The 12,247-nt window shown below is 42.5% G+C and overlaps 1 protein-coding gene and 1 pseudogene across 2 annotated transcripts in view; both read left to right on the top strand.

The window, feature by feature from the left end:
- OR7E25P (olfactory receptor family 7 subfamily E member 25 pseudogene) lies at positions 8,632-9,612 on the top strand (annotated as a pseudogene).
- Positions 10,868-12,247, top strand: part of OR7E24 (olfactory receptor family 7 subfamily E member 24) — a 46,138-nt gene continuing 44,758 nt past the window's right edge. For both annotated transcript variants that reach the window (XM_047438597.1, XM_047438594.1), the window contains exon 1: positions 10,868-11,402. Coding sequence is in view for 1 of the 2 variants with exons in the window: in XM_047438594.1 (XP_047294550.1) it covers positions 11,371-11,402 (32 nt within the window). In the remaining variant the exon portion in view is untranslated. The remainder of the gene's footprint in view (positions 11,403-12,247) is intronic.

The following is a 12,247-nucleotide window of genomic DNA, read 5'->3' on the forward strand; positions in this document are numbered from 1 at the left end:
GGAGTCTCGCTTTGTCGCCCAGGCTGGAGTGCAGTGGCACGATCTTGGCTCACTGCAAGCTCCGCCTCCCAGGTTCACGCCATTCTCTTGCCTCAGCCTCCCGAGTAGCTGGGACTACAGGCGCCCACCACCGCACCTGGCTAATTTTTTGCATTTTTAGTAGAGACAGGGTTTCACCATGTTAGCCAGGATGGTCTCGATCTCCTGACCTTGTGATCTGCCCACCTCGGCCTCCCAAAGTGCTGGGATTACAGGCGTGAGCCACTGCGCCTGGCCCAACATATGGGTTTTAAGGGTTGAAGTTTGATTTTCAACATTAGCTCATCTAAGTCATTTGCTGACTGGACCAGAACATATTTATTAGCTCCACATCCTCTAATTCATCATTTTTAATGATGTTCAGCTTGAGGAACTCTAGGATTAAACAGATAATGTATTTACCTGATAAGAAATTAGTAAATGTAGATATCATTGTCATCATCTACACTTAGATCAATGCATTTCAAGTAAATTATTTGAACTCCTGTTGTTCATTATCCTGGATGGCTGACGGACTGTCTCTTTTTTATATTTACACAAGGGCAGAGAATGAATATCATTATCTATATACTCACAACCTTGCACAGTGAGGACAGCTCTCCTTCATATAACAATGAAGTAATTGTACACTGACTTATGAGAGTGAAGGCAATTTGATATCTGTTCAAACCATATTTTCTTTCCTCACTGAAGCCCTATTCCTCTTATACAGAGAACTCCTTGGAAACAAAACGTATGGTTTGTTAGTGTTTGATCAGAACCGTTGAATGGGATCTAGATTTCTTAAACAGTATTTACAGATAAAGAATCACATAAGACTTGGAACCAACCCAAATGTCCATCAATGATAGACTGGATTAAGAAAATGTGGCACATATACAGCATGGTACTATGCAGCCATAAAAAAGGATGAGTTCATGTCCTTTGTAGGGACATGGATGAAGCTGGAAACCATCATTCTCAGCAAACTATCGCAAGAACAAAAAACCAAACACCGCATGTTCTCACTCATAGGTGGGAATTGAACAATGAGAACACTTGGACACAGGAAGGGGAAAATCACACACCGGGGCCTGTTGTGGGGTGGGGGGAGGGGAAGGGATAGCATTAGGAGATGTACCTAATGTAAATGATGAGTTAACGGGTGCAGCACACCAACATGGCACGTGTATACATATGTAACAAACCTGAACGTTGTGTACATGTACCCTAGAATTTAAAGTATAAAAAAAAAATCACATAAGAAAAGAAAGGTTTTGAAAGATTCTGCAAATAATGAAGGTTAATACATTAAAAAGTGATGGTAGACATTCTTCAGTTGCACATTAAAAAAAAACTCAGAAAATAGTATCCTCCTGTTTCCATTAAGTGGACTCTTCATGTGAGGGGAAATTAGGAAAAGATGAAAGAAAATGATTCATTCTACTGCACAAACATAACTCTTTTTTTTTTTTTTTTTTAAGATAGAGTCTCACTCTGTCGCCTATGTTGGAGTGCACTGGTGCAATCTTGGCTCACTGCAACCTCCGCCTCCCAGGTTCAAGAGATTCTCCTGCCTCAGCCTCCTGAGTAGCTGGGACTACAGGTGCGCACCACCACGCCTGGCTAATTTGTGTATTTTTAGTAGAGACAGGGTTTCACCATATTGGCCAGGCTGGTGTCGAACTCCTGACCTCATGATCTGCCCACCTCAGACTTCCAAAGTGCTGGGATTACAGGCCTGAGCCACTGCGCCCAGCCAACTCTTTGGTTTTTATACAAAAGTACATACCTTGAAGACATTATCATCACTGAAGTAAATAAATCACAGAAGGATAAACACAACTGGGCTCAGTGGCTCACACCAGTAATCCCAGCACTTTGGGAGGCTGAGGCAGGCGGATCACTTGAGGTCAAGGGTTTGAGACCAGCCCGGCGAACATGGCGAAAGCTCGTCTCTACTAAAAATACAAAAATTAGCCAGATATGGTGGCACATGCCTGTAATCCCAGCTACTTGGGAGAATGAGACAGGAGAATTGCTTGAACTTGGGAGGCAGAGGTTGCAATGAGCCAAGATCACGCCACTGCACTCCAGCCTGAGTGACAGAATGAGACTCTGTCTCAAAAAAAGATAAACACAGTATGATTCCACTGATATCAAATATCTAGAGTAGTTAAACTCATAGAGTTGGAAAACAGAATGGTGGCCCCAAGGAGTGGGCGAGAGAGAGGAATGGAGAGTTTGTTGAATGGGCACAGTTTCCATTTTGAAAGATAAAAATGTTCTGGAGATGATGGTGGTGATGGTTGCTAAACAATACAAATGTACTTAATGTCATTAAACTGTAAACTTAAAAATAGTGGAAATTGTTTATATTGACCCTTCTATATAAAATAATATATATTTATACTTTTTAATATTTACACATGGTATATTTTACCACAATAAAAGATGAAAATTGAAGCATTTGGATCTTTACAAAGAAAAGAAAAAAGTGAATAATACACACAAGCTTTCTCCTGATTAGAGGAAGAGCCCAAAAGCTTCTATGGACACTCATTTTTCTCTTCTTCTTCCTGAATTATTATGAGGAAGTCCTTAGAGATTGGGGAACTTGGGCCAATTTGGCTAATGAGGAGCTCTGTGCCTTGAGCCCCCAAGGCCATAGCATAGTGAATACTCAGCCTGTGCCTCCAGCCCTGCAGTGTGAGCTTCCAGTCCAGTGGGCTCCACACCTGTCGTCTGCATCAGGAGGCTCATGTCTGACCCTGTCTTCCTGCCAGTCCTGAGGACGGAGCCTGAGCCTCCATCGTGCACCACGCAGGGAGGACAGCGGACCTGCTCTCCATGATCATGGCCCAGCAGAGGGGAAGCGCAGCTCAGTGAGTGCTGAGGGATGGTCGGGAGCCTTCTTTCCTCATCCTCAGGACAAACAGGACAGTGGAGTGGCAGATAGGAGGACATCAATGTGCAAAATATCAGCTCAGACAACTGTGGAGTTTATGTTCTTGATTGTGGTGGGGACTCTGAAATCTCACTCAAAGTTTTACTTTCTCCCTCCACTGGTTCTACTTGCTATAGACATCTCACTGAAGCTAGGAAAAAATAGGTCTCTCTAAGCTATTCCATGAACACTGTAAAAGGATTATGAAGCTGATGATGAGGATGAGGAGGAAGAGGACAGTCACTATGACATCATGAACTTTTCCTGAGGGCTTCCTGAATGCCAGGCGCCCAGTTCTGTGTTCTATGTGGTTTGTTTCATTTTATCTGCATAGCCTTCTGCAATCCATAAGTGCACACATTATTATTATTTTGCACGAGGAAAGGAGCTGTGCATTTTTATGTAACTTGTAGTATTTCATGAAGTAGAGAGGAGTAAAGCCATGTTTGAATCAGGCCATCTAAATCCTTGCACATGGCATTTGGCTAGGCCTCTTCCTGCATCCAACCTGCCCTCTCGAATCCCTGTCACTCTGGACCCCTGGTGTGCTCACTGCTTACCAGTGGGTTCCTGGTAGACCACAGCTAGACCAGTGGGTGCTACGTTCACTGTATCAAGTATAGAAAGGGCAGCTGAGATCACATCAAAGATCCCAGAAAGAACTGGCACAGGATCCTTCAGGGTGCATCTCTCCCTTGCCCCTGTTCCTGGCTTTCCTTGCAGCTCTCCACCTCCTGAAAGGAGAAATAAAATCAGAGTTTTGGCCTCATTCCTACTCAGGAATCTGGAAACAGTTTGAAAATGCACCTCCGATGTGCCTGTGGTTAAGACCTCTTACCTCTGCTTACAACTTTCTGATAGCTGGGAAACATAAAAAAGGTTCATGCCTGAGACTCAGAGACTGATCATTTATTAGGTTGGTGACAACAGTAATGGCAAAAACCTCAATTACTTTTGCATCAACCTATAATTTTTTTAAAATCCTGTTATTCCACTTATCTGTGTGGCAGGGGGCAAGATGTTAGTGTTTCTGAGACTCAACATTGCCACCTGAGTTGATTTCTAGTTGACACAGATACATTCAGTATTGATTAAGCAGATCATGGGGGCTCCCTGTGGGATCTATTTGTGATGGATGCATAAAGTAAAGGCAACGTGTATTCTAGAAATTGTTATTAATATTTTAAGATTAATCTTTATATCACTCAACTGAAATATCCTGTGACCTGAAGTTACTGTTTCTGTACTTCCCACAGGACATTTTATTTTTGTCCTTATATAATTAAGTACTGATTATTGTGACAGAAACAACTGAGTCTCTTTCATCTCTAATTCTCCAGAGTCTCTAACCTGCTTGACACAGAGGAGGCATCAGAAATAAAAATCTCTTTTAAGAGAAATGCAGGTCAGGCGCATTGGCTCATGCCTGTAATCCCAGCACTTTGGGAGGCTGAGGCGGGTGGATCACTTGAGGTCAGGAGTTTGAGACCAGCCTGGCCAACATGGTGAAACCCCATCTCTACTGAAAATACAAAAATTAGCTGGGCATGGTGGTGGGCACCTGTAATCCCAGCTACTCAGGAGGCTGAGGCAGGAGAATCACTTGAACCTGGGAGACAGAGGTTGCAGTGAACTGAGATCGTGCCTCTGCACTCCAGCCTGGGTGACAGAGCAAGACTCCATCTCAAAAAAAAAAAAAGAGAGAGAGAGAAATGCAAATCGAAACTACAAGGAGATATCATCTCACCCCATTTAGAATGGCTTTTATCAAAAAGTCAGGCAATAGCAAATGCTCACAAGGATGTGGAGAAAGGGGAACAATTGCACACTGTTGGTGGGAATGCAAGTTAGTCCATCCATTATGGAGAACGAGTTGGAGTTTCCTCAAAATACTACAAATAGAGCTACCATAAGATGCAGCAATTCCGGGCCAGGTGCGGTGGCTCATGCCTGTATTCTCAGCACTTTAGGAGGCCAAGGCGGGTGGATCACGAGGTCAGGAGATCGAGACCATCCTGGCTAACATGGTGAAACCCTGTCTCTACTAAAAATACAAAAAATTAGCCGAGCGTGGTGGCGGGCGCCGGTAGTCCCAGCTACTCGGAAGGCTGAGGAAGGAGAATCGCTTGACCTGGGAGGCGGAGGTTGCAGTGAGCCAAGGTCGCGCCACTGCACTCTAGCCTAGGCGACAGAGCGAGATTCCATCTCAAAACAAACAAACAAACAAAAGATACAGCAATTCCATTGCTAAGTATATACCCCCCCATAAGGGAATCCATATATTGAAGAGATATCTGCACTCCCATGTTTATTACAGCACTAGTCACAATAGCCATGATTTGGAAGCAGCTAAGCATTCACCATCCATTCAACATATGAATGGACAAAGAAATTGTGTACATGTGCACAATAGAGCATTATGCAGCCATAAAAAAGGAAGAGATCCTGTCATTTGCAACAACTTGGATGGAACTGGGGGCCATCAATTTAAATGAAATAAGCCAGGCACAGAAAGATAAGCTTCACGCGTTCTCACTTATTTGTGGGATCTAAAAATTAAAACAATGGAAATCATGGAGATAGAGAGTAGAAGGATGATTACCAGAGGCTGGGAAGGGGAGTGGGGGTGAGGGGAAAAGTGCAGGATGGTTAAGCAACACAAAAGTATAGTTAGAGACAATGAATGAGATCTAGTATTAGGTGACTGTAATCAACAATAATTTATTGTACATTTTAAAATAGCTAAGAGTAATTGGATTGTTTGGCACAAGGAAAGGATAAATGCATGAGGTGATGGATACCCCATTTACCCTGATGCGATTATTGTACCTTGTATGCCTGTGTCAAAATATCTCATGTCATTCATAAATATATACACCTGCTATGTACCCATAATATTTTTTAAAAAGAAAATGATGTATAATTATGTGTGTAAATGTGGATATAACTCTACAGAAATACTGAATGAAAAAGCAAGTTACAGAGTAATACCTGCTCTATACTTTCGTTGACATAAAATTTAAGAAAGCAAAATTAAATGATTCATTACTTAGGGATATATATATATATGAGTAGAGTATAAAGAAAGAAGAGATTAACTCAAATTTCACATTGGAGGTTACCTGTGCCGTAGGGCTGGGGTGCCTGGAACCATAGAAGGATGCACGGCTTCGAAGATTGTGCTTTTTTTTTCTTGTTTGTTTGTTTTGTTTTGTTTTTGTTTGTTTGTTTTTTGAAAGTGAGTCTTGCTCTGTCACCCAGGCTGGAGTGCAGTGGTGCAATCTTGGCTCACTCCAACCTCTGCCTCCTGAGTTCAAATGATTCTCATACCTTACCCTCCCAAGTAGGTGAGATTACAGGTGTGTGCCACCACGCCCGGCTAATCTTTGTATTTTTAGTAGAGGCGGGGTTTCACCATGTTAGCCAGGCTGGTCTCGAACTCCTGACCTCAAGTGATCAGCCCACCTCGGCCTCCCAAAATGCTGGGATTACAGGCATGAGCCATCGAGCCTGGCCCAAAGATTGTTTTTTGTTTTGTTTTGTTTTTTGAGATGGAGTCTCGCTGTGTCACCCAGGCTGGAGTGGCACGATCTTGGCTCACTGCAGCCTCCGCCTCCCAGGTTCAAGTGATTCTCTTGCCTCAGCCTCCCGGGTAGCTGGCATTACAGGCAGGCCCTACTGCGCCTGGCTAGTTTTTGTATTAGAGACGAAGTTTCACCGTGTTTGTCAGGCTGGACTCAAACTCCTGACCTCAAGTGATCCTGAGCCTCAGCCTCCTAAAGTCCTTCGATTACAGGCATGAGCCACCACGCCCGGCCCAAAGATTGGTTTTATTGCATTTGTTAAACTGTGGGATAGGTACTTGGGTATTTCATTATTGTTCTTTTTTTTTTTTAAGTACATACATATTATGTACATTCCCTTGATTTCTTGGAACATTTCACAAAAAAATTATATACACAGAATAAAATAAATATTTAAAGCCAAAAATCTCTGGAAATACTGAGAAAAAAAGAGAGAAAGAGACAGAAAGAAGAGGGGAAGGTAAACATTATTGCTTAGACAGAAACACATTTTAGACTTTCACATCTTTCTAGCCTCACATAAAGTAATGCAAAAGTGTTCTTAAAATTGCATTACTCACGCCTGTAATCCCAGAATTTTGGGAGGCCGAGGCGGGCAGATCATGAGGTCAGGAGTTCGAGATCAGCCTGACCAACATGAAACCCCGTCTCTACTAAAAACACAAAAAATTAGCCGGGCATGGTGGCACCCGCCTGTAATCCCAACTACTCAGGAGGCTGAGGCAAGAGAATCTCTTGAGTCTAGGAGGCGGAGGTTGCAGTGAACCAAGATTACGCCACTGCACTCTAGCCTGGGCGACAGAGCAAGACTCTATCTCAAGAAAAAAAACACTTTTATTAATGCTCAAACATCCACAGGTGCCTTGCGCACTACAGACAACTTGTAGTCACTGATGGCTTTGATTATGCGCATTTAACTAAACCTTATTTATCAAAACTCTGAGTCCACCTAAGCAAGGACAGGAGTTGAATATTAAATGAATTTCAAAAGAAAACCCACATATTTGAGGGAGACTTTGCTTCCACAGGAAAGTGAAGTCAGAAACCATGAAGACAATGAAAACACTAGAACAGAACTGGAATGTGAAAATGTCTGCTTATGAACTGTCAACTTTAATTTATCTTTGAAATAACGTGGTCCTAGGTCTTACAGAATATTTCTAAATATTGTAAATCAAAGGAATTTGTAGCATTGAATTAGAATGAAATAAGGCATATTTGAATGTCTTTGGTTTCTTTTAATTACAAAGATTTCTTTTCTTAAATGGGGAAAGATATTTCTTTACTTTTTGTGTGTGTGTGTAAGACAAGGTCTCACTCTGTCATCCAGACTGGAGTGCAATGGTGTGAACTTGGCTCACTGTAACCTCCACCTCTGGGCTCAAGTGATCCTCCCACCTCAGCCTCCCAAGTAGTTGAGACCATAGGCACATGCCACCACGCCAGCTAATTTTTGTATTTTTAGTAGAGACGGGGTTTTGCCATGTTGTCCAGGCTGGTCTCAAACTCCTCAGCTTAAGTGATCCTCCCGCCTTGGCTTCCCAAAGTGCTGGGATGACAGGCATGAGCCACTGCGCCTAGCCAATATTTCTTATTTTATATTTTTACTGAAAAGAGTACGCTGTATTTTAATGTGATCATGAATTTTCTCAAATGTTCTTGCTCTTCTCACTTTGTTCAGTCAAGGGTCTCTAAGGTAAGTGTCTACAGAATCAGGTGACTAACACACCAATCAATTACAAAAGGACTTGTAGCAAATTGGGTTTTACGGACACAAAGATGGGAAAAACAGTGGGGACTGCTTGATGGGGGAGGGTGGGGGTTTATGGGGTGGAAGTCTATCTATCCAGTACTAAGCCCACTACCTTGGTGTTGGGATCATTGCTGCACCAAACCTTTACCGACACATTATTTACTCATGTAACAAGCCTGCATATGTATTCTGTGAGTCTAAAATAAAAAAAAAGAAAATTAGGGTTTTCAAAACTGAGAAATATGGCTGAGGGTATATGATCCTCAAATGTGAAAACATTAATTGTAAATTGCTTGTATCCAAAATATAGACACAGTGCTGGGTGCTGATTTTGTCCTTTCCTTTTTTCCAATTCTCTTTTTCTCAATTGTGTCCAAGATACACAGAGCCAGAGAATCTCACAGGTGTCTTAGAATTCCTGCTCCTGGGACTCCCAGATGATCCAGAACTGCAGCCCGTCCTCTTTGGGCTGTTCCTGTCCATGTACCTGGTCATGGTGCTGGGGAACCTGCTCATCATTCTGGCCGTCAGCTCTGACTCCCATCTCCACAGCCCCATGTACTTCTTCCTCTCCAACCTGTCCTTGGCTGACATCGGTTTTGCCTCTACTACTGTCCCCAAGATGATTGTGGACATCCAGGCTCATAGTAGACTCATCTCTTACGTGGGCTGCCTGACTCAGATGTCTTTTTTGATCTTTTTCGCATGTATGGAAAGTCTGCTCCTGATTGTGATGGCCTATGACCGGTTCGTGGCCATCTGTCACCCCCTGCACTACCAAGTCATCATGAGCCCACGACTCTGTGGCTTCTTAGTTTTGGTGTCTTTTTTTCTTAGCCTTTTGGACTCTCAGCTGCACAATTTGATTGTGTTACAACTTACCTGCTTCAACGATGTGGAAATCTCTAATTTTTTTCTGTGACCCTTCTTAACTTCTCAAGCTGGCCTGTTCTGACACCTCCATTAATAACATGGTTGTATATTTTATTGGTGCCATATTTGGTTTTCTCCCTCTCTTAGGGATCCTTTTCTCTTACTATAAAATTGTTTCCTCCATTCTGAGAGTTCTCTCTTCAGGTGGGAAGTATAAAGCCTTCTCCACCTGCAGCTCTCACCTGTCAGTTGTTTGCTTACTTTATGGAACAGCCCTTGGAGGGTACCTCAGTTCAGCTGTGTCCCTTTCCTCCAGGAAGGGTGCAGTGGCCTCAGTAATGTACATGGTGGTCACCCCCATGCTGAACCCCTTCATCTACAGCCTGAGAAACAGGGACATTCAAAGTGCCCTGCAGAGGCTGCACGGCAGAATAATGTAATCTCCTTATCTGTTGCATCTTTTTTGTAGTATTGGTTGGAAAAGGCAGAGCTTTGATACAAAATATCAAGACCTTTAAATCCTTCCCCCTTGGTTACATTATATTTATTGCTTGATAGGTTCAATTCCTCTCCATGTTTCATATGTGAATGTGGGCGGCAAGCCACCAGGGGCCGAGGCAAGAGACCGAGGGCACGAGCTGTTCCAGCATAATAAAGAAAATATATAAAATAAGAATAGTTATACTAGATATAGATCATAGATATGATTATATATGAACATCATTAATCATTAGTTTGTAGCAATTACTCTTTAGTCCAATATTAATCTTCACTCTACAATCATAACCTAGGAAAAACCAGGCCATACAGAGATAGGAGCTAAAGGGACATGGTGAGAACTGACCAGAAGACAAGTGTGAGCCCTCTGTTATGCCCGGACAGGGCCACTAGAGGGCTCCATGGTCTAGCGGTAACGCCAGTGCCTGGGAAGGAGCCCCGTTACCTTGCGGATCTTGGTCTAGCAGTAGGGTCAGTGCCTAGAAAAAGCACTCCTTACTCAGCTGACCGGGAAAAGGAGTCTCTCTTTTCCCGGGGGAGTTTAGAGAAGACTCTACTCCTCCACCTCTTGTGGAGGGTCTGACATCAGTCAGGCCTGCCTGCAGTTATGCGGAGGCCTGTTTCCCTGTGATGCTGTGCTTCAGCGGTCACGCTCCTGTTTCACTTTTATGTTCCACCCTGTACAACTGGCTCTGCCTTCTAGACAGCAGTAGCAGAATTAGTGAAAGTACTAAAAGTCTCCGAAATGCAGAAATAATGGTGTAAGCTGTCCTCTCTCTCTCCGCCTCGGCTGCCAAACAGGGAAGGGCCCCCTGTCCAGTGGACACGTGACTTGTGTGACCTTACCTATCATTGGAGATGGCTCACACTCCTTACCCTGCCCCCTTGTCTTGTATCCGAAAAATAACAGTGCAGCCAGGCATTTGGGCCACTACCGGTCTCCGCGCCTTGGTGGTGGTGGTCCCCCCGGGCCCAGCTGTCTTTTCTTCTCTTTGTCTTGTGTCTTTATTTCTACAATCTCTTGTCTCCACACACGGGGAGAAAGACCCACAGACCCTGTAGGGCTGGTCCCTACATGTGAATATTGTTTCCATTGTTTTGTCTTTAATTGGAATGTGAAGGTATTCTGGAATTCTTTGTTTATTGCAAAAATTCGTGGCTGAATCCAGTATACCTGGACAGCCTCCTTTAGTTTCCGAGCAATGACCCTGGTATCTAGGTGAAATCACAACCCTGTTTTTATATATAAGAAGTCCTTGCTTAAAGTCAATAGCATCTTGGAAACTGCAACCTTAAGGAAATGATATACAGCAGGTCCTCAAGTAAAATTGTTTTGTTCAAAGTCCATTAGTTATATTGTTGATAAGGAAAAACACACGGTTTCATTATAAATCATTTCACTTAAATCACAGTTTCCAAAAACATATTGAGGGTGTTAATTGAGGACTTACTGTATTTCAAATTTAAGTTAATTTTCACAGTTCGTGTGGAAATTATTTACATATTACATCTGTAAAATCACTTTAAGCAGGCTATGTGTGACGAACTTGTTCACGAGCCCTCAACCTTGGCTTTTATTGACCTCACCTGGGGAGCTTACAAATGATGATGGCTGGGCTCTCTTACCCAGAGATTTTGATTTACTTGAACCTGTGTGGGTCTGAGAGGTTTTAAAAGCACCAGTGATAGTTCAGACGATGAAGTTCTTCAAGGGATCAAGCTCAAATGGGTAAGCTACTAAAGAGCTGATTGCAGCACTAGACAATGTAATTTTCTTCAACTGTCTTCTTCAAATTCATTATCCTTCAGCAATATACAGATTGTCATTATGCTGGGAATTTTTAGTAAGCACTTGGAATTTGTTGAAAATGTTGATTTATATACGTATAGATTTTCTTCGGATTTCACTCTTGTGCGTACTGAAAGGGAAAATAGAAAAGGATAACATGGTAACAACATCCCTAAAACTTCACATGCTATAACTGATTTTTAAAAATTTGTTTAGTTTTCTTTCTTTTTTTATGAAGTGTGGGGTAGGTACACAAAGTTATACTATTCAGCCTTTAAGAAATGAAAGTGAGTCATTTGCAGCAACATGGATTTAAGTGAAATAAGCCAGGCATGAAAAGACAAATATGGCATGTTCCCACTCATACCTATGAGCTAAAACAGTGAATCTTGTGAAGGTACAAGGTAGAATGGTAATTACTAGAGGCTGGTAAGGGAAGGAAGGAGTGGAGCATGAAAAGATGTTTACAGGGTACAAAAATGCAGTTAGATAGAAGAAATAAGTTCCAGCGTTTCCTAATACAGTAGGGGAATTCTAGTTAGTGGTAATTGATTGCATATTTCAAAGTAGCTAGGAGAGAAGATTTGTATTGTTCTCATTATTCTGGTTTCTAAGCCATTGTCTTTCTGTTCCCTTCCCGCCTTTCTCTACTCAGCTCTTTCATGCTAGGTTGGGGCTCTTGAAGTTATTGCTCTGTTTTCCATCTGGTGTTCTTGTTACAGACTTTCATGAACACTGAATTTTACTACACTGAAATTCGGTATACTTTGCGACCACCTTCTAGT

This window comes from Homo sapiens, chromosome 19 (assembly GCF_000001405.40).
Source record: "Homo sapiens chromosome 19, GRCh38.p14 Primary Assembly".
In the NCBI taxonomy this organism is placed as follows: Eukaryota; Metazoa; Chordata; class Mammalia; order Primates; family Hominidae; genus Homo; species Homo sapiens.